The sequence below is a fragment of the Homo sapiens genome, chromosome 22, assembly GCF_000001405.40.
Source record: "Homo sapiens chromosome 22, GRCh38.p14 Primary Assembly".
In the NCBI taxonomy this organism is placed as follows: Eukaryota; Metazoa; Chordata; class Mammalia; order Primates; family Hominidae; genus Homo; species Homo sapiens.
In genome coordinates, this window is record NC_000022.11 from 44,068,406 (window position 1) to 44,094,841 (window position 26,436).

Here is a 26,436-nt window from a genome sequence, read left to right on the forward strand (position 1 = left end):
GGAGCAAGTTGCCGGCCAAGGTAGGTATCATGCGAGTCCTACTTCTCCCCTCATTCAAGGACCTTCCTTTGGGGAAGTGAGTGCTCCCGAGAGCAGCCTGCCGCCTCCGTGTCGGGGCAGCCTCAGCTTCTTCTTTCTGTGTCCGATATTTGATTTCTGTTGTCGTGGAAACGGGGTGGCAAGTGTTCCATGTGTTAGCATTTGGTCCTCCTGACGTAGTCGGCACACGGGAGATGCAGCTGGGGTGGCACGTGCCCACAGTGGTGCCACCTCTTGCCGGGGGTCAGGCAGAGGAGACCCAGCTCCGTGCCAGCTTGCAGACCCCCAATCACTTCTCCTGTCTCAGGGCCCAGAGAGCAAAGGCAGTGGGAGGCCAATGTCTGTTGTTCAGTTTAGCTCTGAGCCACGTGCATCTTCAGTCAGCCCAGGGGCCTGGGCGCGCCCTTCCTTCCTTCTTTGTGCATGGGGGTTTTCCTGGGGAGCAGTTGCCCTGGCCCATGAGGCTGATGGGAGTCAAGACAGAAATAGTGGTCTGTGGTCAGCAAGGAGCTATCGCTGGAAACACCCCGGTCCTTCCACAGCCTGACCCTCTGTGACCTTCCTCAAAGGCTCCCCAAAGAGGCTTTCCCTTGAAGTGCAAGTCATAGTGGCGCCCCTGCCACGTCCCTATATGAACGGGGTGTGTGCCCGCCTGCCCTCCGACGTCCGCCGGCTGTGCTGGTCTGCAGAGCTGCCGCCAGCTGCACCCTCCTCGCCAGTGAGTTCTGTTGCTTTCGTATCATTTTCAGCAGGAGCTAAACCCAGGCCAGCCCTTCTTTTCTTTTCTGCTTTATGGCAGAATTTTGTTTTGCAAGAATGGACCCTGGGTGGCTGCTTGACTTTTCCCAGGAAGGTGATGGGGACGTTGGTGTTAGGACGATGGGCAAGGGGGTCCAGGTTGTCTCACTGCGGCCCCAGAGGGATGAGGGTCTGACTTGTGGAGTGAAATTTCCAGCACTCTGCTGGGGGCGAGTAGATCATTGGGCCCAGAAGAATGGGATTTGGAACATTCTCAGGCACATGCTGCAATTAAGATTTTCTTTTTCATAGGGGTACCTGATACTGTGGGTTTCTCTCTCTCTGTCTTTTTTTTTTCTCTCTGAGATGGAGTCTTGCTCTTGTCACCCAGGCTGGAGTGCAATGGCGCGATCTTGGCTCACTGCAACCTCTGCCTCCCAGGTTCAAGTGATCCTCCTGCCTCAGCCTCCCAAGTAGCTGGGATTACAGGCTCCCGCCACCGCGCCTGGCTAATTTTTGTATTTTTAGTAGAGACGGGGTTTCATCATGTTGGCCAGGCTGGTCTTGAACTCCTGACCTCAGGTGATCCACCCACCTCGGCCTCCCAAAATGCTGGGATTACAGGCATGAGCCACCGCGCCCGGCCATGGGTTTCTCGTTAGTGGTCTTCGGTTCTGTGTTTCCCCTCTAAGTAGCTGATCGTGGCCGGTGCCTGGCTTTCCCCTGGTCACCACTAGATATTCTGTCTTGTCTTTGGGAGGCAGAGTCAGTAGAAGGTGCTTTGCACTGGGCATGCCTGGGAGTGAGCCCAGCCTTGCTGTTATTAGCGCCCATCGTGACGGTCGGCCAGGCTGCCCTATGTTCGATTTTTCCTCCTGTGAAATGGGAACAACAGTAGAGCTGATGTGTCCTGGGCTTTCTGCATCCCAGGGACTATCCCAGCTCCTTAACGTGCTTTGCTCAGTGCTATCCTCCTAAAAAGTTTTCTTTTACAGTTGAGTAAGCTGAAGCCCAGAGAGGTTAAGTAACCTGCCCAAGGTCACACCGCAGATCGGAATGGGAGTCAGGAGTGTACCCAACAGCCTGGCTCCCTAGTCAGTGCTCTCAACCTCAGCTTGAAGGCCGCCTCCCTGGGCCCTGCTAGGGGACCCAGTAAGATGACAGTTATTCACATTCTCCTTTGTTTCTGATACCAAGCAAACTCCTGGTAAATGCTCCTTCCCCACTTTTGTGGAATAAAGAATGCACATTTTTTTCTGAGCTCTGCCTGGGTATCCTTAAGGAGAGGGACGCTGTGCCTGGGACGCAGATGAACAAGATAGGAGCTGTTTCCTGGAGGAGCTCCCAGGCTGATTTTTGCCTTTGATGTTCTGCATCTTTTTCACAGGCTTTTTGTAGATGTGTGGGGATATTTCTAGAGGAGAAACCAGAGGTGGAAGGAGGGGCATAATGAAATTGAATGCTGGGCATCTCTTAGCTCACATTATATGAGGCTCTTCAGGGACAATAGACCTTGCAATAAAAGGCAAAAAGGTGATTGCGCACAGAGTGCTTTTCCTGCACAGTGCTGGGCGGGATGGGGTGGATGGGGCTTGGCGGCTGGAGGAGGGTAGACCCTGCCCGCACCTCCTGGGACCTGTGCGGGACTTTGCTCACCTTGCTGTTTCTAACCAAGGTACCAGATTCTCTTCACTCAGGTGTGTCAGATTTTAACCCTTGAGGCTAGAACCTTGCCAGGCTTATTCGAAGTCAGTGGTTCCTAGTAGTCACAGGGCCCCTGCCCTAGACCCCAGACCAGGACCCCCCGGCCCCTGCCCGCCCGCCTTGGCCTGGTGGGGTAGGAGTCACTGTGAAAGGGGTCCTGGAGCCCAGTATCACTCCAGCGACATTTCCCAGAGAGCATCCTGGGGCCAGTGTGGGGTGTGGGGGAACAGATACTGAGCGCTCTGTCCCCTCCCCTTGGAGAATCTCACAGTACATTAGCAGAGTCAAGACTCTGAGAAGTCCGGTAGGAAAAGACACCTGCTTAGCTTCCCTTAACTTCACGACTCCTCCACCTCCTTGACCTTTGCTTGATTCATGTGTGACCTGTGAACGTCTAAACTGCAGGACTCACTTTGGGAGATACTGATGGAGACCAAATAGGTGTCCTGCTCATATATCCTCCACTTCTTCAGTTTTGCTCAGGATCCACTGGGCTTCCTAAAATGCAAACGAATTGAAAAGCTGTGCTGAATGTGTTTTTCTCTGTCTGAAAGTACAGCCACCCACGAAAGGAGGAGGTCTGCTAAGTTTTCTTTTAGAAAAGGGGTCCCCAGGCTCTGAATGCTTGAGGACCTCATTGGGATCACCCCCTCCATTGTGGGCTACCCATCCTCCACCCGCTGTGGCCTATTGATAACCTCCCAGCCACCACCTATGCTCCTAGAGGCCCTGACTGGAATCCCTGTCCTCACCCTGAGTTTGTCACCTCCTTCCAAACTTCGTGTCCTCTGTTGCAGTTGAGGACCTGGAAGTCATGATTGGGCTGATTAGTGATGGGTGTTTATTTTGAATTCTTAACTAAACAAGGAGGAATCACATCCTAGCTCCGTATTTTACTAGTTATGGGACCTTGACTTTCCCAAGATCTACTTTCCTTGTCAGTAAAATGGCAATAATCGGGGTAACCCATACCCTGATTGCTGAGAACCCCTGTAGGCGTCCATGCCTGGCCCAAAGCCAGGACCCAGGAAGGGAGGCGCAGCTGGGCGGCCTCTTCTGCGTCTCTGCCAGTTGCTGGCTTGGATTCTAACACCCTCCTTCCCTCCCTCCCTCGCTCTCTACCAGTGGGATCTGAGACCATGAAAACGTTTGAAGGTTTCTCAAGCGTCTGTGACTGCCCCACGTCTGTCGTTGGGTGGAAAGGACTTTGTAATTGAACGGAGTCAGTTGTAATGTGAATGTCATGTGGAGCTGCTTTTCCTTGGCAAGTCCTTGCTGTGTGAGCCATTGTTTCCAGATCTGTAGAACCCTCCCTACCCTGTCCCCCTTTCCGGGCTATTGGGAGGCTGAGCGAGCTCATCATGAGGCCCCTGAAAGATAGTTTCTGTGCCCTGTGGAGCTGAGTCCCCGAGTCTCTGTCCCCACCTCACAGGCCCCCTCTCACCACCCTTTTGGGTTGGTAAATTTCAAGTTGGGCATCAGATAGGACAAGGGAAGGGGACTGGAGAAGGAAGAGCCGACAGTTTGCCCTCAGGACTTCAGAGTCACTCTTTTTTGTTTGGTTGGTTTTTTGAGATGGAGTCTTGCCCTGTTGCCCAGGCTGGAGTGCAGTGGCGTGATCTCATCTCACCGCAACCTCCATCTCCCGGGTTCAAGCGATTCTCCTGCCTTAGCCTCCCGAGTAGCTGGGATTACAAGTGCATGCCATCATGCCTAGCTAATTTTTGTATTTTTAATGGAGACGGGGGCTTCACCATGTTGGCCAGACTTGTCTCGAACTCCTGACCTCAAGTCATCCACCCACCTTGGCCTCCCAAAGTTGCTGGGATTACAGGTGTGAACCATCGCGCCTGGCCCAGAGTCACCCTTTCTTTTTGTGCCTTATTAGACATCTTCCTGCTACAGGATAGCCCAGAAGAAAGGAACAAGTTTCCGTCATGAATAAGTCCCCTACCTACTAGGGATGTAGGGATAAAGGACTGGAACTCTCTTTCTTCACCCTGCAGGGCAAACTCCTTCAAGACTCAGCTCCAGGAAGCCTCTCTGGACTACTACACTCCCTCCTGAGCCCCCAGCCTTCTCACATACCTCCCTTATGTGTCTCCTGGGTGCTGGAGCCCTCAGAGCAGGGCCTGTATCTAAGTCCCCCTGTGGCCCACCCAGTGCCCCGTGCCAGGCCTGACCATAGTGGATGTCACTAAGCAGTTGTTCAATGAGTGAATGAACAAATGCAAACTAGGCCCAATCTTATCAAATTATACTAGAATAATTGTATAAAAAACCAGACTTCTTTAAGTGGAGGAAATTTAAAGTCAGAAGTGGGCTGGGCACAATGGCTCACACCTATAATGCTAGCACTTTGGGAGGCTGAGGCGGGCGGATCACCGGAGGTCAGGGGTTCGAGACCAGCCAGCCTGGCCAACATAGCGAAACCCGTCTCTATTAAAAATAACAAAATTTAGCTGGGCGTGGCGGTGCATGCTTGTAATCCCAGCTACTCTGGAAGCTGAGGCAGGAGAATCACTTGAACCCAGGAGGCAGAGGTTGCGGTGAGCGGAGGTCGCGCCATTACACTCTAGCCTGGGCGACAGAGTGAGAGTCAGTCTCAAAAAAAAGAAGTGAATGAATACGACCATACCTGCTTTTCCAGCTCCTGACTCTTAAACGTCTCGAATACCAATGCCAAATAAAGGGAACCGAGAGATGAAAGGTGTCACTGTCCTGATCTTCAGATGCAGAAATTTCTGTGTAGCTGAGGAGGTGGGGCCCGCTTGCCCCCCTTTGAATTTTGGGTTGTGCTTGAGCAGAAGCATTCATTGCTTGGAGAAAGCAGAGGAGACCCCAGAAGCACTTCCCTCTGAAAGGGAGAAGCAGGTAGGCCAAGGCAGCGGTTCTGGGACCAGCTCTGGGGCCACCTGCTTTTCCCACACTGGGTCTGTGGTGGGCTCGGCAGCTGGCCTGCACACAGGAGATCCTCAAAACAGATGAGCGAGCATGATTGCCATTTTTACACTCCCTCATTTAATCCGCAGCACTGGAGGAGGTGTGATTATGGTGTGTATTTTGTGCAGCCATTTGGTGGACACCTACCGAGGACCCGCCGTGGGGCAGGCTGCTGGCTGGGCTCTGAGGATGCTGACGAGGACCCTTCTTTGGGATCCTCTGTTCGGGTTGAAGACAGTTTATGAAAACATAAGATAACAGAATGGCCGACTCTGAGGCAGGAGCCAGGGGTGTGTGAGTGGGGGTCCTGGAAGGGGTCTCTGGAAACCAGAGGAGGAGTGGTCCTCTGAGGCTGGCCAAGGCTCCCAGCAGAGAGACGGGGGCATGGGCAGAAGCCTGTCGTGCCAGTGAGCCCTGGCATTTCTGAGCCCCTGATCGGTTCTGTTGCCTGCACGACGGCCTGGGTGAGCAACACTGACAGGAGACCCCTGCCTTAGTACCATGTCTCCTGGGCTCTGGCTAGTGGCGCCTCCTGGCAGCAGCTGCCCAGGCCACACAGGATGCTGGCTACATGCTTGGCTGGTCTGGCCATCCCTGCATGGCCCCGCTGTCACTGGTATCTGGAGATCACACCCAGCCAGAGCCTAGTGCCACCCTCGGATGCTTCCTTGGGGAGGGAGGATGCCCTGTTTCCATGGCAACCCTAGGTGGGAGGCCAGGGCTTCAGGCAAGCTGCTGAGCTTTTCACAGCCCTGGGAGTGAGGAGCAGGGCAGGCTGACCCTGGCCTGTGGGGCAGAATTAGTAGAGGAGGAGCCCCACCATCCCTGAGAAGAGGAGGGGAGTGGGGTGGGGAACATTAGACAATGTTCACTGCCCCTCCCTCAGCTTCCCAGCTGCCCACGGCAGTCCCAGGCCAGGCCAGTGTGGGCGTGGGGGGCAGTTAGAGCGTGGCCGTGTGGTGTGCCAGCACGCAGTGCAACAGCCAAGACAATGGAGTCATCCCCTGCCCCTGGGCCCTTCCCTCCACCCCACCTCATGTCTGCACTAGGTGAGGAAGCAGAGGACGGAGGAGCCCAGTGGGCTCTGGGAGCTCCTGGGACTCCTGAGTCGGTGGGGACGGGGCTTCCCAGCCTCAACACTGAGGATTCTTGGTTGTGGAGCTCTCCTGAGCATTGCGGGGTGTTGAGCGGCATCCCTGGCCTCTACACACGAGGTGTCAGTTGTGACAACCCAAAGTGTCTCCAGATGCCACTACGTACCCTCCCAGTGTGGGGGTGGAGGAATCGTCCCCAGTTGAGATCCGCTGAGCTGAGAGGCTCCCCGGAAGCAGGTGGTGAAGGAAGGGAAGGCCCTGGGCCCTGGAGACATGGATGCCTGCCTGGGACACACACAAACACGCACGCACATGCACGCATGCATACACTCACTCATATGCACACATGTTCATGCATGCACCCGCAGTGACCCTGAAGGGACTAGACTATTTTTAGAGCACTTTTAAGTTCACAGCAGAATTGAGTGGAAGGTGCAGAGATTTCCCGTGACTGCACGGCCCCACCACGCACACTATCAACATCCTCCCCCTCTAACAACGTCCAGACCAGAGGGTGCATCTGTGGTACCTGGTGGACCCACATGGCCATATCAGGGTCACCCAGAGTCCACAGTTTCCATGAGGGGCCCCTCTTGGTGCTGGACATTGTGTAAGGACAGGGACCCCCATGGTAGCAGTGACACTGCCCTGAGATCCCCGTGCCCCACCTGCTCATCCCTGTCTCCCTCTCACTCCTGGCAACCTCTGCTCCTTTCACTGTCTCCGTAGTTTTGCCTGCCCCACAGGGTCGTGCAGTTGGGATCACACTGTCTGCAGCCTTTTCAGACTGGTTTTTCACTCAGTGAGATGCATTTAAGTTTCCTCCACGCCTTTTCACAGCTGACGGCGCGTTTCTTCTTGGTTCCAAGTGGCTCTTTCTGCATTGTCTGGACGGATCCATTTGTTCCCTGTTTGCCTCCCAGAGGATCCGCTGCTCTTGCTGCAGATGTATAGCCCAGGTGCTGTGGAGTTGGGATGGAGCAGTCGAGCTGGGATCAGAGCCCAGGCCCCTGCCCTGAGGTTGGAGCTCTCTGACTGCACCTGGCCTAGGCCTGTGCATTGTCTAAACTGATGGCCGTGGGGCAGGGGACCTGGAGCGCAAAGCAGGAGAGGATGCTGAAGGGGGCAGGTGGGGCCGGGACTTGGGAGTGTCTGGAAGGAGGACCGCCTGCCTCAACCCAGGGCTGGTCTGTGGAGGCCAGAGCGCTCAGCCCCTCAATGCTAGGCCTGTTGTGAGTTTCTCCATGAGGTGGCCCTCTCAGAAAGAGTGGCTCCACAGCAGCTGAGTTGGGGGCCCCATGGCAGCTGAGTCGTGGACTCCATGGCCGCTGATTTGGGGGATGCCTGTCCTTGTAGAGACTGTCACCTCTAGGAATGGTGAAAGGGCGGCCACCCGCAGCCCTGTGTCCTCTTTCTAGTCCTCTGTCTTGTAAGCCCGGTCCCCACAGTGGCCCCAGTCCTCCCCTGCCAGAAATTCGTTCTCCTCAGAAATCCGTTCTCCTCTCTGATCTTTCAGGCCTAGAGACAGGCTCTTCCCTCCGGAGGGTGCAGCCCAGGGGTTCTGGTAAGATACAGAGCCCAGCCTCAACATAGCAGGAAGTTTTTCCACAAATACACAGTTCTTCAAGACCACATGCAGCTGTGCGTGGGGTGTGTTTTGAAGGGCAATGGCAGGAGCAGTGTATGCCTCGTGGTGCAGGGAGCACGAGTTGTTTATAGGCGTGCCTGGGTCCTGGGTCTCTGTGCACCCTCCTCTAGATTCATGGGGCATCTGCCCACCGTGAGATAGATAAGCCAGGGTGCCTGCCCCTTTCTCAGGTGAGATGCTGAGGGCCAGAAACATGCTGCTGTGTCCCATGGAGGAGGTGGCCTGCCCCAACTCCCCTGCACCCTAGGGAGAGTGCCCACAGGCTGGGGGCTGGGGCTGGGTCCTGTGCCCCCTCCCCAGCCCTCGGTATGTGGCTCGCTGAGGTGTGCGCCGGAATGTTGGGCACATCCTGTCTGATACCAGCTTGGCTGGAAGTCGAATTATGATCAGAATATCACATGATGTGTGGCCTGGGTCCCCCTTTGGTTGACACTCTTGAGTATGGGTCCTGTGCCTGCCCGGGGCCAAGCAGCAGGTGCAACCGGGCCTGCCCTGGGGCAGCATGGGGTGTGCTAGTGTCCTGGGGCCACTGTAACAAAGCACCACAACCTGAGTGGCTTAAACAACAGAAACATAGTCTGTCACAGTTTTGGAGGCTGGAAGTCCAAGATCAAGGTGTCAGCTGGGCTGTGCTCCCTCCAGGGCTCCGAGAGGATCCCCCTTGGCCTCTTCCAGGCTGTGGTGGCTCTGGTGTTCCCTGCCGTGGGCCACATCACTCCAGCCTCTGTCTCCCTCTTCACGTGGGCCTCCTTCTCCGTCTGTGTCTCTGTCCTCTCCTCTTCTTGTAAGGACGCCTGTCATTGGATTAGGGCCCACCCTAATGACCGAATCTGCAACTTGATTACATCTGCAAAGACCCTGCTTCCAAATAAGGCCACAGTCACAGGTGTTGGGGGCCAGACTCCAGTGTGCCTTTTAGGGGAGATACAGTGCAATACACAGCACACAGTGAGGTCTTCCAGATCCCCAGACCTATCTTCTTCCAGACCGCCAGACAACACCGATAAGGGTGAAGTTGGCTTACGAGTCCTGGCCAGGATGTGACGGGGAGTCGCCAGGTGGGTGCCGGGGAGGTGGGAAGCTCTGCAGGGGATTGGAGAACCACACGTCATTGCCCACATGTGACTTTAAACCTTAGCAATGATATTGGAGGGGGATAGTTACTCTTTTTTTTTCTTCTGAGACAGTGTCTCATTCTGTCATCCAGGCTGGTGTGCAATGGTTCTAGCGATTCTCCTGCCTCAGCCTCCCGAGTAGCTGGTATTACAGGCACCTACCATGACACTCGGCTAATTTTTGTGTTTTTAGTTGAGACGGGTTTTCACCATGTTGGCCAGGCTGGTTTCGAACTCCTGACCTCAAGTGATCCGCCCACCTCAGCCTCCCGAAGTGCTGGGATTGTAGGCAGGGGATATTACTCTTTACAGCTAGGGAAACAGTTGGGCTTGGTGACATGATAGAGACACCAGGTCCCTTGAGGACAGGGGGCCATTTGCAGAGCCGTGTGGTGGAAGGAGCCTGAATTTGGAGCCCCAAGCTCACAGCGTGGGTCCTTGTCACATGTCCTGTGAGCTCTGTTTGCATCCTTAGCTCAGGCAAGCTACTGTGTTGAACTGGCTGGACACAGTGTGTCTGTCTCTCCCTCTTCCAGAGAAGTCCTCACTTAAGGTTGTGTCACTGTTTTTACTGATGTTGGAATTGGCACTTGGAGATGTGAACTTTCCCAAGGCCACACACCCAGATGAGTGGTTAGACCCGGACCTGCCTAACTCCAGCATATCTTTTTCAGGGGGACACAATTAAATCCACAGCATGGACTGAGTTCCCCTCTTCTCTGCCACCATCCTGACCTTTTCCTGGCCAGGGTTACCATGTCGGGGCAGGCATGGGGGAAGTGGTAAGGGAGGTATCTGGACCTAGTAAAAGGCTCTGGTCCTCCTGCTTCCTCTTGTAAGGACCCTGTCAATCACATCGGGCCCCCTGAATAACCAGGCTAATCTCCCACCCCAAGGTCCTTACCTAATCACATCTACAAAGTCCCCCTCTTGCCATGTGAAGTCACAGGTTCCTGGGACTTGATGTGAACATCTTTGCAGGGACCATGATCCAGCCTTCCATAGAGGCAGTGACAGATGGAGTAGAATATAGGTCCTTTGAGTATTTATTTATTTAAGATGGAGTCTCACTCTGTCGCCCAGGCTGGAGTGCAATGGCGAGATCTCAGCTCACTGCAGCCTCTGACTCCTGGGTTCAAGCGATTCTCCTGCCTCAGCCTCCCAAGTAACTAGGATTACAGGCGCAGACCACCAAGTGCAGCTAATTTTTTTGTATTTTTAATAGAGATGAGGTTTTACCATGTTGGCCAGGCTGGTCTCAAACTCTTGACCTAAGGTGATCCACCCGCCTCGGCCTCCCAAAGTGCTGGGATAACAGGCGTGAGCCACCGCGCCCGGCCCCTGTGAGTTTTTACAAGAGACACTGCAGTAGAGAGAATGGTAGAGTCCTCAAACCCTGATTCAGTCGTTCATGAATTCACTGAGCACTCAACGTTTCCCGCAATGTGTGTCCTCTTCTTTGCCAGCCTGCTGGTGTGCTCCTGGTGCTTGGTCCACCATAGATGGGTGTGCTTGGTCCAGGAGGCTGATGGTGCTGACATCTGGGCTGATATTCACCGTTTTTAGTGACTTGAATGACGTCCATGCAGAAGAGCTAGTGCACCATCCTTGTGTTTGAAAATGCCCGGGCTCCAGCCTGAGAACCTGGTAGGCCAGTAATTGGAGGGACAGTAGCAGGATCGAGAAGCCATCTGTGTCACGTGTTCTTGGGGACAAAGAGGAGACACAGGCTCAAGGAACAGCAAGGTTTGTGGGACACAGCTGTGTCTGAAAACGTCAAGCAGTTAGCTCATCCCTGGCTACTTCCTGTGAACCCATTAAATCCCCAGGCTGAGGAGGACAGAGGGTGAGGGAATCTGACCCCTTACTCAGCCCTTTAGCCAGCGGCTGCTGTGCTAAGCCATTCTGAGAAGCCACCGGTGGAGAACTGACTTCAGGTCGTGCTGACTGTGAGGCCATCCAGTTGTTTTTGCACATTGAAAACAATACATTACACTTTGGGAGGCCGAGGTGGGTGGATCACTTGAGGTCAGGAGTTCGAGACCAGCCTGGCCAACATGGTGAAACCCCGTCTCTACTAAACATACAAAAATTAGCCGGGCATGGTGGTGGGCGCCTGTAATCCCAGCTACTTGGGAGGCTGAGGCAGGAGGATCGCTTGAACCCAGGATGTGGTGGTTGAAGTGAGCCGAGATTGTGCCACTGCACTCCAGCCTGGGGGACAGAGCAAGACTCCTTCTCAAAAAAAACATTGTTCCGGATTTGCTAATAAGGAGGCAACCTCCTCAGACCTTGGTGTCACAGGAGAATGGCCCGCGGCAGCCTTAGGGCCAGTTGTGATTTTATCCACAGTGTTGGTCAGATGCGTCCTCTGTGCTTGTTTAATATTCATTCTGCTTGCGTGAACAAAGCCATGTCAGTTTCAGTAACGCTTGTGCCAGGGGGCACCCGGTGTGGAGCAGGGCTCAGTAAAACTGCTGCAAAGAATGTTCCAGGCTTTTTGAAATTACGTGGAGTTGCTGGGGCTCTCTTGAGGCTGTTAATTTACTTAGGGCTGCTGTGACAAAATACCACAAACCCAGTGGTTTAAACCAACACAAATCTATTATTTTACAGTTCTGGAGGTCAGGAGTCCCAACATCAAGGTGGCAGCAGGGCCGGTTCCTTCCGGAGGCTCCAGGGGAGAATCCCATTCCTTGCCTTTTCCAACTTGCAGAGGCACCTGCGTTCCTTAGTGCCTGGCCTCTTCCTCTGTCTTCAAAGCCATCTCCCGATCTTTCTCTGTCTCCTTCGCCACACCTCCTCTGGCTCTGGCCCTCCTGCTTCCTCTTGTAAGGACCCTGTCAATCACATTGGGCCCCCTGCATAATCCAGGCTAATCTCCCACCCCAAGGTCCTTACCTAATCACATCTGCAAACTCCCTCTTGCCATGCAAAGTCACAGTTTCCTGGGACTTGATGTGGACATCTTTGCAGGGACCAAGATCCAGCCTTCCATAGAGACAGTGACAGATGGAGTAGAAAGTACATCCTTTGAGTTTTTACAGGAGACACTGCAGTAGAGAGAATGGTAGAGTCCCGAAACCCTGATTCATTCATTCATGAATTCACCGAGTGTTCACGGAGCACCTGCCTCAGTCCAGGCGTCATGTTGGGAGCAGGGGAGACAGAGCAGGCCATGCATCTGTCCTTTCAGAGCACTGTAGACGCAAATCCTGTAGCACAGATGTGCCTTAGACTAATAGTGCCTCGAAAGGAGAGGAAGGGGAATGGATGCGGGGAGTGGGGAACCTGACCTGCTTTGTGGGGTCATGGAGTGACTCTCCACCTGCCGTCATCCCTCCATCCCTTGTTTGGGGCTGTTCCTCCAAAGGTGCAGTCTCCAGCAGGGGTGTGGGGACCCCTGTGGGCCGTGAAGGCCTTTCTCCTTTTCTGCTGTGGGCATTGCATCTGTTCCTGATGGGTAGAGTTGTCTGTGCCCGGTGGGGCCCAAGGCAGTGCCATGGTGGTTCTTTGAGTATCTCAGGTGGGAACTGAGCTGCCAGCACCAGAGGCCAATGGCTTCCAGCACTCCCCAAATCCACCTGCTTTTGGAAGGGGCCTGTCTCCGAAGCAGGCCGGGTCCTCCTGTTGGGGGAAGCTTTCATGGAGGCATCTGTGTCACTTCTGCAGGGGAGACAGCCGCTAGAGGGCACTGTCCTTCTGGCCTTTCCCACATCCCCGTTTCCATGGCAGGTGCATAGTAAAGCCTTTCTTTTTCTAACGACTTAATGATTTAATCTTCTTATTTTCTCAGCAGACAACGCTTTGGACTTCCCTGGATACATTGGGACGTTACCAGTCACATTAATTAATACGAGTTTCACAACTTGGGAACCAGCGAACGTGCTTCTCCAGACTTAGCTTCTGCACGGCCGTTTCTGCTTTCCTTTATGAAGTGCGTTTCTCTAAGAGCCTGGCAGTCTCATGGGGCTCGTCTGTTGCTGGAAGTGAGCAGCGGGTTCCATTGCCCCCCGCCTCGGTGGGGCTCATTGTGCAGCTTGCTGGCAAGTGGCTGGGCTCGGAGGGGCGGTGACGGTGACACACGCCAGGGGAAAGGTTGGCATCCTCTTCTGAGAATTGTTTCTTTTGGGTTTCACACCCTGCCCCCACCTTCTGCTGCCTCGAGGCTCTTTTCTTCTTATTATTAGCTAATGACAGATTTCATGACCAGTGACTGAAATCATTTGGAAGTACCCCCTGAAAGCCAGCGTGATGGGTTGGAGAAATGTGACAGACGCAGCCTCTGAAAATCACAGAGGCAGAGGCTTGCGTCGAAGGACTTGCTAAGGAATTAGGATGAGAGTGGTCAGGAGGCAGTGGCTGCTGGGCACTGGAGCTGAGGGTGAGGGGCCGAGAAAACGGGAGGCAAATGGGGTAGCTCTTTTTTGGGGCGGGGGAGGCTGGCTTTGGGGATGTGTATCCCACTGTGCACCGCAAGGTGGGGGCACTGGGCGGTAGGTTCCCGTGCTCCGGAAGGGTGGCAATTGAAGGGAGGAATTAAAGAAGTTGGCCAGGTGCGGTGGTTCGTGCCTGTAATCCCAGCACTTTGGGAGGCCGAGGCAGGTGGATCACTTGAAATCAGGAGTTCGAGATCCACCTGGCCAACATAGTGAAACCTCATCTGTACTAAAAATACAAAAATTAGCTGGGTGTGGTGGTGCACACTTGTAATCCCAGCTACTCAGGAGGCTGAGGCAGGAGAATCGCTTGAATCTGGGAGGTGGAGGTTGCAGTGAGCCAAGATCGAGCCACTGCACTCCAGCCTGGGCGACAGAGCAAGAGTCCGTCTCAAAAACAAAAACAAAAACAAAAAACAAAAAACAAAAACTGACTCATGTGGCTTTCAGTCTGAGAAACCAATCAGATCATCATTGTCTCTAAAGAATGTGTCCTCCTTTGTAGACAAGAAGCTCACCGGCCCCTCCATGCCCCGGTTTCTCGCCCAGGTGGGTTAGACGGCCAACCTGACATTTTACCGTGCACCTGGAAGTCTTTCTTCCTGTTCTCCTTCCCACAAAGGATTCATTTTTCTGTGGTTCTAACATTTTCCTGATCACCCCAGGGACAAAGGGGAAGAAAAGACCGTGTTTCTGGGCCAAGGGAATCATCTGTTTAACATGGGCTTCGGAGCTTTTTTTACATTTCTATGTAAGCAACTTTTCGTATTCAGAAGACCCAGTTTCCCTGAGCCAGATGGACTCCTTCCATCTCGGGGTGGTCTGTATTTCAGATTCCTGCAGCAGGTGGCTGGTCGGAATGCACACCCCAGGAGGTGAGGCTGGGGGGATGTTGGCTCCTGGGCTGCTTGTACTAGCAAGTCCCTAATTGCGGAGCGGACTCCTTCCTCCTGAGCCCATCAGCCTCTACGTGGCCACATCAGGGTAATTGGGTTCCTTGTGAAACACGACTGCCAGGCTAATGTAAACCTTAATGGAAACCCTCTTTTTCCACCCAATTAAGTGGCTGGAGGTGGGATGCTGTGTGAGAGCCGTCAGTTCAGTTCCCTGACTTTCTCTTGTAGAAATTATCTATGTAGCTCCATTTGGCCTACATAAGCTTAGCATTTGTGTTCATTCATTCATTCATTCCACAGATATTCAGAGAGCAGTTATCCATGTGCTGGGTTTTATGCAGGATGTGAGGCCATGGTCATGAATGGGACCTGGCCCCTGTGCACTCCTTGCGGGGTCGGGGGGTGCAGGGAGATGAGCACAGTCCACAATCACATGATCGGGGAATAGGGTTTGTCATTGTCATGTGCACGGGGAGCTGTGGAAACCCAGAGGAGGGGCCCGAACTGCACCCAGGGATAGAGGATGTGCAGAGTGTGCTTTCCAGACGGTGGGAAATGGGTGGAGCTAGCTGACCTGAAGTGAAGGGCATTGCAGGTTGTGGGGACAGTCGAGCAGAGGGGCAGAGATATGACCTACAGAAGTGGCCTGGAATGGCCTCATCAGACGATGAGTGTGGAAGCATGGTAACTGCAGCTGTATTGATGAGAGGAGGGGTCTGCTCATTAACAGTCATCGGGTACCACTATGAAGGTTTTGCGTTTTACCCTGGAGCTGGTGGGAGCCATGGGGTGCACTGCAGCAGGGAGTGACCAACGCCAGCTTTGTGTATTGGAAGGATTTCTACATCAGACAGGACTCTCTTGGTTTGCAAAGGACAGAAAACCCAACTCAAAATGGCTTAAAAGCAAAACAGAATTCACTGGTACATTTGACAGAATGGTCTGTGGGGTTGGATGGCCTCAGGTAAGGCTTGATCCAGCACATAGAAGGTGTTGCTAGATCCTAGATTCTGTTCTCCCCTTCCCCGAGCTCTTTCGATCTGGTGCCTTCATCTCCAGGCTCTGTATAGTGGTAAGATGATGGGACGGCTTCAACCTCCATCCTTTCTGGGTCAAGGCCAGTGGGAAGGAGTGCCTGTCTCATTCTCTATTCCTGGTAAAGTCTCAGTGCAGTTCATTAGCTCTAACTGGGCCATGCCCATCCCTGACTGTGTTCCTGGGAGGCCAGTGTGCCAGCTGGCTTTGTCCTGGGATGCCTGCTCCACCCCAGAGCTGAACTACAAGGCCCGAGCATGGTGGCAGGAGGGGTGGCTCTCTCTGAGGGAGGCTGAGTCTTGTTTGCCTGAAAGGATCAATGGATGCTGGAGAAGAAAAGCAATGGTGTCCATAACAGTCACCTCCAGAAGGGGAGAGGCTGGGCTGGGGTGGGAAGAGTTTAGGGCAGGGCTTGCAGGGGCCAAGGTGGCCATCCTGGTGAGAAAGCCCCACTGGCCAATCCAAGAATAGGGCACGAGATGTGAGCCTGCCAAGGGTACTCCCAGGTCTGGCATCTTGGTTCTTTCCGCTGCGTTCTTGGCACAGACACTCATGCCAGGGCCTTTGCTGTCACCCATAGTCTCAGAGTCATGTTATTATTCTGCAGTCATCTGTGGGGATGGGACCGTGCAGGACTTTCCCTCCCCAGCTTCCTCCCTCCTTCAGGGTAGCTCACTGTGTCCCCCGAGGCAGCCAGTGCTGCCGGGAGAGGCCCGAGACTCCTTCTGGGTCTCAGAGCCATTTCTATGGTTGAACCCAGTGTGTGTCCTTCCCTGTAGAATTGGCTGCCACTTTGTTTCCTTTAGGGTCCCCACTGCACCCTGTACATAACCCTGCCAGGACATCTGTTTATTTTCCATTCTTGTAGCTTTATTTTTATTTCAAAAGGAGTACAAGAACACAGTCTGGTGGCAGAGCCTCCCTCTGTCTCCTCCTTACCTTCAGCCACTGGGCCTTGCATCAGTAATGCTGCTCTTGTCATTCTGGAGCATGCCCTTTCATTTCTTTTTCTGTGAATTTTGATACGTACACATAGAAATACATAGTGGTGAGTTTTCTAGTTGTATTTTTTACATAAATATCATGCTGTATTTATTTTAAAGTGTCTCACCATGTTGCCCAGGCTGGACTTGAACCCCTGGGCTCGAGTGATCCTCCCACCCCAGCTCCAAGTAGCTGGGACAACAGATGTACACCACCACACCCAGCCTTTGCTGTATTGTTCTGCAACATGGTTTTCTTTTTCTTTTTCTTTTTCTTTTTAATTTTTTGAGACAAGATCTGGCTCTGTCACCCAGGCTGGAGTGCAGTGGCGTGATCTTGGCTCACTGCAACCTCCGCTTCTCGGCTTCAAACTTTCTTCCCAGCCTCCTGGGTAGCTGGGACTACAGATTCACACCACCATTCCTGGCTAATTTTTGTATTTTGTGTAGAGATGGGGTTTTGCCTTGTTGCCCCGCTGGTCTCGAACTCCTGAGCTCAAGCCATCCACCTACCTCAGCCTCCCAAAGTTCTGGGATTATAGGTGTGAGCCACTGCAGCTGGCCCAACCTGCTTTTGCTTTTTTAAAAAATCTCAACACCATGCTATGTATTGCACTTAATTAATTGTGCATCGAATCCTTCACGAGCCTTCTGTGCCAGGTGCGAGGTCGGCTGCTGGGTGGAAGTGACCAGGATACGTCTTCCCTCGGCTACACGCAGACTCTCCACGGTGCAAGGGCAGGGCCTGCCCAGCCCCATGCCCAGCCCTTTGGCATCCATCCACCAGTGTTAGTTAGATCAGCAGGCTGTCATGCCCAAGGCTTGCTGCCATCTGAATAGGACAGGGTTTCAGCAGTGAGCTCTTGATGTGGAGTCTGCGCCACCTGTTGACCTTCTTTGGATTTACCTTATTGAAATGTTCACACATTTCTTTTAGCTTCTCAACTTATTTCATCTTGAGAAATGGGCTGGAACCTCATGCCCCAGCACAACAAGCCCCATAAATCAGATGTTCAAGCTGAGCGATCCTTCCGGTTTGGGCCACAGTCACGGGGCTTTCTTACTCCTCTAGTCATGTCAGCACCGTTCAGAAACTCATCCTTGGCTTAGAGATGATAGTGAGTTACATGTACATAAATACACCGAGCTCATTACCCTGGGCCGGCATCCTGCATGACAAGGGCCCACATCCATTTCTCGGCAAAAACAAACTACATCTGCCACTTGAAACGTCAAGAAGCGCTTTCTTGTATGTTGTGCTCCATGGATCACTGGAAGTCCTTTCCCTCTTTTCCCATGTCCGGGCCAGGAGGAGCAGCTGCTCTCTGGCACTGTTAGCCTTTGCTGCCTTTTATCCTAGGCAAGACACTTTGTTATTCCTCCGATTTGTAATCCCAAGAACCTTGGAGATTGGACTTGGAGTTCGTAACCTCCTGGGGAGGGCCAGGCCTCACATTTCAAGGCCTTTGCACGCGTGATGTGCCAGCAACAGCTCAGCCCTTTGAATTATGATCCGCGACTCCCTCCAATCACCTTCCTTCTGGATGTCAGAAAAGACTGCCCAACAGCATCTCCTCCCAGCTGCCGAGGCTGATGATGTTTTTATTCTGATTTAGATCTCACTTAGGTCTTATTTTAACTCCACTGAGCTGCAAGATCTTCACTGAAGTACAACTGGACTTATTTTTAGAAAAACTGCTCTGTTAAGAAGACCTTCGTGCCTGATGAAGTTAGTTATTCTGATAAATTACAGCTTCTACGAAGAAACCACACCCCTCTGAGTACGGATGGAAGTTGGAAAATTCATAGAAAGCTGTCATTTCCTGGCAGAGGCCTGGAAAACCTCATTTAACAGAGATGTCTTTGGGTTCCTGCTTAAGCCCAAGCGAAGGATCCCGATGCCCCCTCCCCAGCTGGGAAGAGGAGCTGGTGGCGTGAGTTGGCACAGAGCCGCACCTTTCTTTCTCCTCCTGTATCCTCCCGCAAGCTCTGAAGACCACTCTGTTTCTTTGAGCAGGATCAGTTGTAACTAGAAGTGGGTAGGATTTGAAAAGGGCTGGTTAAGTGTTTAAAACTGGGGCAGCTTTCCTGCCATTTTCCAGTTCTTTTAGATGTGCAGGGATGGAGAATGGCTGTTTTTGTTGGGGTTTTCTCTTTGATCCTGGTTCAGACGGGGCCCTCTGAAATTTCTCGCCCTGATCTTTTGTTCTCTATGAAAACCAGGAATTGCACGGATGGTGTAGAAAGTCCCCGTAGGTGGCAAAGCATCTCTGCTGTGTTGAAATGACACACTTAGAAAAGTGTCAGAAAATGGAGTTGCCATTGCTCTGGCCCCCCAGGACCTGTGGCTCAGCCTCCATTGGGCCTTTGTGTCTGGGCCAGACCCTCCAGGCAAGCCCCCAGTGAGGCTCTTGGGCCCGTGATTGCAGGGGCGCCTTGCCATCCCCCGTGTCCTGCCCTGGTTCTGCTAGTGGAGCAAGAAGCTGATCAGCCTTTGTGTTTTCAGATTTCTTCTCTCCGTTAAGGTAACCTTGTTCTTTAAACCAGCTTGCTTTCAAAGTTGTTTTCCTAATAATATCAAAAGGGGGAAAAAAAGCTGCCTGAAAATCCTTTTTTGGGAAAGAGCCTGGGCATAAATAAATAAATACAACCATACAAAGAAGAAGATTAAAAAAAAAAAAATCAAAGATGGAACTTTCGCATTTGGCCTGAGGTATAAATGGCAGGCTTCTGATGACATGCTTTTAGTTTTTGATTCTCTTTCTTTCCTTTTATGTTCTTGTAATTCCAAATCAGGAACGATGGTGTTTTTTTTTTTTTTTTTCTTTTTTCTTTTTTTTAAACCTTGCCCAATCTTTGGGTGGAGGCTTTGGAAGCCGCACATATTCCACCATTATAGTTACTCAAAGCTGACGCTTCCCGAGGGGTGGCTGCATGCTGGCGACTGTGCCGAGGGTGTGTGTCCCTGAATCTTTGTGATCTCTCTGAGGTGTGTTAGGCCCCACTTTACAGATGGAAACTGAGACACACAGAGCCGTCAAGCAGCTTGCCCAAGGTCACACACCTTGTCAGTGGTCAAGCTGGGATCCAAAACCAGCAGCCTGGCTCTGGGATTCTAAGCTCTCTGTTGTGCTGCTCCTTGAATATATTAAAAGGCCTACTATGTGCAGGAACTGGGTTGGCACTGGCAGGAAGGCAAGTTCGGGAAGGAGATAGTTACATGGCTGTGTGGCTTCAGCTGGGGAGAGGGGAACACCCAGGAGGGCTTCTTGGAGGAGGCGGCCAGTAAGATGAGGTTGAAGATAGGTAGGATTTAGTAGGGCACAGTGAGGTGCAAGATCAGGTAGAACTGGCTTTAGTCCTGACTCTGGGGCTTCACATCTAACAGCACAGGACCAGCCACTCCCTCACAGACTTGTTTATTTATTATTATTGTTATTATTTTTGAGACAGACGGAGTCTCGCTGTGTTGCCCAGGCTGGAGTGAAGTGGCACAACCTTAGCTCACTGCAACCTCCACCTCCCAGGTTCAAGCAATTCTCATGCCTCAGCCGCCCAAGTAGCTGGGATTGCAGGCGCCCACTGCCACGCCTGACTAATGTTTGTATTTTTAGTAGAGACAGGGTTTCATCATGTTGGTCAGGCTGGTCTCGAAGTCCTGACCTCAGGTGATTTGCCCACCTTGGCCTCCCAGAGTGCTGGAATTACAGGTTTGAGCCACCGTGCCCGGCCTCCCTCAGACTTGTTAGGAGACAAGGTGAATGGCTGGCATGGAAGATGCCCTGCACATAGTAGGTGCTCAGGAAACGTTAGTGGTGCTCTCCCCCTTTCCAATGGACAGTCAGCAATATGGGTTGGACAAGTATGTTCTGTAATCCGAGGTTGTGTGCCCTCTGGCTGGCCCACAAAATTTGAATTAATGGCTCGTATTTATAAATGGGGAGATTCCACACCAAACCCCACATTTCCAGCTTTTCTTGAAAACTCAGATCTGGTGACTGCAGCCTGCACTTCCCACTCTGCCATCCCGGGCTGAGCGAGGAGTGCCCGTCTCCAGAGACAGTGTGCCAAGGGGCCCTCCTCCTATCAAATGCCCTCCTGTCTCTCTCTTCCTACCTGGCCCCCCGTGCAGGCCACAGAGCGTGGTGCTGCAGGTGAACTCTGCTGCGGTGGGAACGAGTTGGCATCGACTCCCTCGTGGCTGGCTGCTGGGTTTCGTGTGGACAGAGACATTCATCTTAGAACAATGCAGACACTTAGGAAAACAAGCACAAGGCGGTCTTTTTCCCTTAATCACCCATCTCATGAAATCAAGCCCCAGTCCCTTGGAAGCTCACACCCTCCACACCCTCCAGACACTGAGAGAATGCATGCCAGCATGCCTGTGCCAGCGCGCCTGTGCCAGCACACCCGGGCCAGCACACCCGGGCCAGCAGATCTTTCTCTGTGACTGAAGACAGCCGGCACTTCACATCTTTGAAGGGTTTGTCTTTCTGGCAAGTAGACCGGTACTTTAAAAACCAAAACATTCCTGGGATTCACTGAAAGCCAGTAAACTGGCACCGTTCAGGTGGCGGGGGGGTCGGGGGAGGGGGGAAGCCAAGGGTGTGAGAGGAGCCCCTCCTTCCAAAAATCACACCGATCCTCTGAAGGTGACGATCAGATCCAGGCTGCAAGTTCTTCTGCAAAGGAGCTGTGTCCATAAGGGAACCCAGGCTGCAAAATATAGCAAGGCCCAGAAGGGCATCCCTCAAACCTTCATGGGGTTCAGCTTTGGACATGCTGGCTGTGGTTTGTCTCCACTGCACTCTGCAAAGAGCCCCGAAGGCCCTTTCCTTAGCCTGGCCATATTTCAAGGCCAGTTCAATTGCTGCCTCCTCCAGGAAGCCCTCCATGCTTCTCTGTGGAATAGGGGACCTCGCCTGCCTTGTGGTCACTCTTCCTCCAGTCTGTGTCTCTCTTGGAGCCTAATCACAGAGACCCTGTACATCCACAGCTGCCTCTCCCACTTGCAGGGAGTAGTTTGTGGGCCATGTGTGGGTGCTCACGGTTCCCCTTATTCCTCAGGAAATGTGAGGAAGTTCCTGTGAGGCCGGTATTCCCACCACCCCATGTTACAGATGGGGAAACTGAGGCTTAGTGCGGTGAGGGGACTTCCCCGAAGCCACACACCAACAAGTGGCAATGCGAGATTTGGACTGGGGCTCTGTGGCCACAGGCCTGGGCTCCTCCTGCCAACCGAGGGGTCTGCCAGCCTGTGCCCCCCTCCTCCTGGTCCCCGAAGCCTTTGCTTCCCTCAGGCCATCGTGCATAACCAGCCCCTTCAGAATGCGCTGCTGAGCAGTCCCTGGGCGGTGTTCGTGAGCACGTTTCTCATTTATTAAGGTCACAAAATCCCTGGCCCTGTTTAGTGTCATCTTTGATGTTCAAGGGCGGTGTGGAAATCTCTGTTTTGATATGACCCAATTTCTAGGCTTTCAAAATGTGGCTTCTCTCCTCCTCCCTCTCTGTGTTTTTGAAATCAGGTGAGCAGGGCTGCCTCGAAGCGTTGACCACTTGCCCCGAGGTCTCCCTCCCCACCCCTCAGGCCCAGGCACATGGGTGCAGTGCCAGCTCTCGGGCCTTGCCAAGAGGACTCTCGGGCGTAGCCCACCTGTGTAATCCTCCACACATAGGGAAACTGGGTCTTTTGTTCTTCCTCTGCCATCAGCGTGAGCACTGCAGGCAGCTGTGCTGGACGGGACCTCCCTGCCCCTGTTGTGTCCTCCTATGATGCCAGCCAGGACATGGAACTTCCACCCCGACCCCCTGTGCTCCAGGGCTATCATATTCCCAAGGATTTCTGTGAAAAATCACTTTTCCCTGTTTCCTTTCTGCCTTTTAAGACTCTCTGCTGGTTACAACTCTCTTTGTAACTCGTCATGTGGTACAAATACTTGCTGAAATTTGGTCCCTGTTTTCTCAGCTGATCTGGGTGACCTGTGGGGGTTCTTCTGGATTATTTTTAGAGAGGTGGGGCAGAGGGAGTCTCAAAACTCTATGTCTGTATCATTTCCCTGTGAAGGTATTTAACATTTGTCCACTGCTGGTGTAGCGTTATGCTAAGGATTTTGGAAATTCAAGGATGAGTGGTGCCTGGATCTTCCCTTAGGATGCTGGCTGTGGGTGGAGGACAGTGTGTGCGGCAGCCAGGCTGGCTCGCGGCTGGAATGTGGGTTACCTGGAGAGGGCCTGCTTTTTTTTTTTTTTTTTTTTTGCTATTTAAAAAAATTGTTGTAAAATAGGCATAACGTAAACTTTACCATCTTAGCCATTTTCAAGAGCAGAGTTCACTGGTATTAAGTACGTTCTCATTGTGCAGCCATCACCACCACCCACCCACAGAACTCTTTCATCTTTCCAAACCGAAACTCTGCCATCATTCAACACTACCTCTCTATTTGCTACTTCCCCCGCCCCTGGCATCCACCAGACTGCTTTCTCCTCTATGCATTCGCCTACTCGAGGGACCTCCTACTGGTGGAATTGTACAGTGTTTGACTTTCTGTGTCTGGCTTATTTCACTGAGCAGAACATTCTCAAGGTTCACCCATGCGGTAGCCTGGTCCGAATGTCCTTCCTTTTTAGGGCTAGATAATATTCCGTTGTATACGTGGACTACCTTTTGCTTACTCATTCATCTGGTGTTCTCAAATGCCAAGACTCAGTGACTGCAGCAGTGCCCGAAGGTTCCCTCGAATCAAAGAACTTCCTAACCCCAACCTGTACCTAGGCTCTGATACTCCTGCATCAGGCAGTCCTCTAGGATAAGGTGCCTGTTTAAAATGCAAATATATTACCTTCGGGGGAGTGGGTAACTGGCATCCTGGGGCCCCGCTGCCATTGTCCTTATGAGGGAGGGAGGTTGTGTTGTCCTGGAAGTCGGGTCCACGGTCACGTCCTGAGAGTCCCATCACGTGCCATGCTCTGGGCTGGGGACTTGATGTTCATTGTTTGGTTACATTTAGCCCTTCCAAAGACCCTGGCATTTTTGCAGTGTTACCTATAAATTCCATGTGCGGAAACATGGGTTATTTCCACTCTTTTTTTTGAGATGGAGTCTCGCTCTGTCACCAGGCTGGAGTGCACTGGTGTGATCTTGGCTCACTGCAACCTCCGCCTCCTGGGTTCAAGCAATTCTCCCACCTCAGCCTCCTGAGTAGCTGGGACTACAGGCGCACGCCACCACGCCCAGCTAATTTTTGTATTTTTAGTAGAGACAAGGTTCCACCATGTTGGCCAGGATGGTCTCGATCTCTTGACCTCGTGATCCACCTGCCTCAGCCTCCCAAAGTGCTGGGATTACAGGTGTGAGCCACCGCACCCGACCTGGGTTATTTCTACTTTTGGGCTATTTTGAGTCCTGCAGCTATGAAAATGGGAATAAAAGAGGGTCCGCTTTTTAAGAAGCTGAATATCGGCCTTTGCTGACATGAGAGGAGCTGGCATCCTTGGGCCCTGCTGCCATTGTCCTTATGAAGGATGGAGGTTGTGTCGTCCTGAAGGCTGGGTCCACAGACGTGTCCCAAGAGCCCATCATGTGCCATGCTCTGGACTGGACGCTCAACATTCATGGTTACATTCAGCCCTTCCAAAGGCCCTGGCATTTTTACAGTGTTACCTATAAATGCCATATGGAGAAATAGGTGCAGAGAGGTGAGTGGGATGTACCTGGGGTCTCACGGCCAGCATGAGTGGGGCCCTGTTGGCCTGCTGCTCCAAAGCCATCATGCCACACCCCCTTGCTGTTCCATCATCTGCCGCTGTGGAGGCTGGATGTCCAGAGCTAGAGGTGTTCAAGGTTCAAGGTGATTCTGGTGTTAAAAGAGGAAATACCATTTTACTTCTGAACCTGTTTCATGGAGAAAGAGGTACAGCTCCGGGCACACTGGCCTGGGTACCTTTGCAGCATGTGATCAGGGACTGCTCCCCAGCGGCCCTCCACCAGTGCCATGAAAGTGGCCAGGGCCCTACCTGCACCCGGCACCATGGATGCATCTTGGGGCTGGAACCTCGAGTCTTACATGCAGCAGAGGCTGAGGCTGTGACTGTGGAGAAAGCGTGACATTACAGAAGCAAGGGTTTTGGCACCTGGTGTCTGTGTGGGTGGGTATTCCTCCCTGGTGGATGTGGCTGAAAGGCCTGCAGGGTCTCACTGGTGCAGGGAGATGAGGGGTCATTTCTGGTTCTGGGATTGTCCCTAATCACTGGGCGTTCCAGATCCTGTAACTGTTCAGCACTCCCTTGAGACAGGAGGTCATGGTGTTTCTGACTTGGAGCCTCTGGCTCTCTTTATTAGATTCTGTTGCATGTTCCAGCCATCCTGACCCGGGTGTTCCATCAGATTTCTGTGCCTGTGAATGTGGCCATCACCAGTGACCCCACTTTAAACTCCAGATTCACCTGTATGCATGACCGGAGGGGGTTAGCATCTTGAGTCCGTGGTTCAGGACGCAGCCCCCCGGCAGAGGGAAGGCAGCCCCACTCTCTCATGCCCCATCGCTGTGGTCCATGCTTTGTCTGCCTCAGCAGTCTTGGTCAGATCTGGAAGCATCTGGAGGCATCTGGAAGCTTTGGTGTCTTAGTTATGAGTTTCAAAGGGCAGTGAAAACAGACTGGCAGAGCTCAGCGAGACCTGGGAAATATTTGGGGTGGGGAGGAACTGCAGAATGTATTCTTGGTTCAGAGCATTTTTCCCTCTGACTCTTTCTGGGCAACAGACCTTTTAGGAATGTTTGTTAAATGCTGAAAAAAACAGGAATTGATTTCTCTCTGCGTCCACAGCCAACATGTGAGGCCACGGCACTCCGTGTATACTAACCTGGTTTTTCTTTCCTTTTGCTCAACAGTGAGTGACCTGCAGGAAGAAGGCAAGAATGCCATCAACTCACCGATGTCCCCCGCCCTGGTGGATGTTCACCCTGAAGACACCCAGCTTGGTACGGGGGTTCCTCCGCTCCCTGCCCTGAGACAGTTGAGCTTCCGTGGCACTAAGTTGGTCTTGGGGAGGCCAATGAGGAGCCCGATAGATCTGGCCTCTTGATCAGATGCTGGGGGCATTTGGGAGTCTAAGTTCTTAGCTCAAGGTCATCTTTAGAAAAGTCCATTGGGAAAAGCAAGTCCTTCATTAAGGGTTTCTGCCCTAGTCTTAAAACGTAAGTTTTATTTTTCAGGTGGTGAAGCAAACAGATTGGGAGAAGACTGACTTGAAAAGATAGTTTGTTAAACTCATAGTTCTGAAAGGAGGTGTAGCAGGCCACTCAGGGCCATGCCATGCCACGCCATGCCACGCCACGCCACACCATGCCAAGCCACGCCACACCATAGCACACCATGCCACAGAAGGCCACATGGAAAGCACTAGTGTGAGGCAGAGGCAGAAGGAGCAGGGCTAATGCCTTTATTTGATATTTTATGTATATATTTTTTGAGATAGAGTCTCACTCTGTTACCCAAGCTGGGGTGCGGTGATATGATCACAGCTCATGGCAGCCTTTACCGTCCAGGTTCAAGTGATCCTCCTGCCTTAGCCTCCTGAGTAGCTGGGACTACAGGCATGTGCCACCCCGCCCACCTAACTTTTTAATTTATTTGTAGAGATGGGGTCTTGCCATGTTGCTCAGACTGGTCTCCAACTCCTGGGCTCAAGCAGTTCTCCTGCCTCGGTTTCCCAAAGTGCAGGGACTACAGATATGAGCCACTGCGCCTGGCCCCAACACCCTTACTGTGGCTTTCTCTGAAGGAATGGGCAAGGCTGGGTGAA

General features: G+C 52.6%; 1 protein-coding gene across 11 annotated transcripts in view, besides 3 other annotated features; it reads left to right on the forward strand.

The window, feature by feature from the left end:
- PARVB (parvin beta) overlaps nt 1-26,436 on the forward strand; it is a 173,729-nt gene that overhangs the window by 69,195 nt on the left and 78,098 nt on the right. For 5 of the 11 annotated variants that reach the window (NM_001003828.3, XM_024452236.2, NM_013327.5 and 2 more), the window contains one exon: nt 25,523-25,612. In NM_001003828.3, the coding sequence (NP_001003828.1) occupies nt 25,523-25,612 (90 nt within the window). Of the gene's footprint in view, nt 1-700; nt 758-13,002; nt 13,380-18,263; nt 18,416-18,549; nt 18,569-25,522; nt 25,613-26,436 lie in introns of those variants that run through there. The other 6 variants (NM_001243385.2, XM_024452235.2, XM_047441349.1 and 3 more) reach the window with 6 other exon arrangements.
- Nucleotides 66-215: an enhancer, noted in NCBI's record as "active region_19205". NCBI's record gives its function as "activates an Ori minimal core promoter by ATAC-STARR-seq in GM12878 lymphoblastoid cells {active_cell/tissue: GM12878}" and the evidence as "EXISTENCE:reporter gene assay evidence [ECO:0000049][PMID:35858748]".
- Nucleotides 376-515: an enhancer, noted in NCBI's record as "active region_19206". NCBI's record gives its function as "activates an Ori minimal core promoter by ATAC-STARR-seq in GM12878 lymphoblastoid cells {active_cell/tissue: GM12878}" and the evidence as "EXISTENCE:reporter gene assay evidence [ECO:0000049][PMID:35858748]".
- Nucleotides 548-1,111: an enhancer, noted in NCBI's record as "H3K27ac-H3K4me1 hESC enhancer chr22:44464833-44465396 (GRCh37/hg19 assembly coordinates)". NCBI's record gives its function as "activates a minimal SCP1, AML or CMV promoter by ChIP-STARR-seq in primed H9 embryonic stem cells {active_cell/tissue: H9 hESC(primed)}" and the evidence as "EXISTENCE:reporter gene assay evidence [ECO:0000049][PMID:30033119]".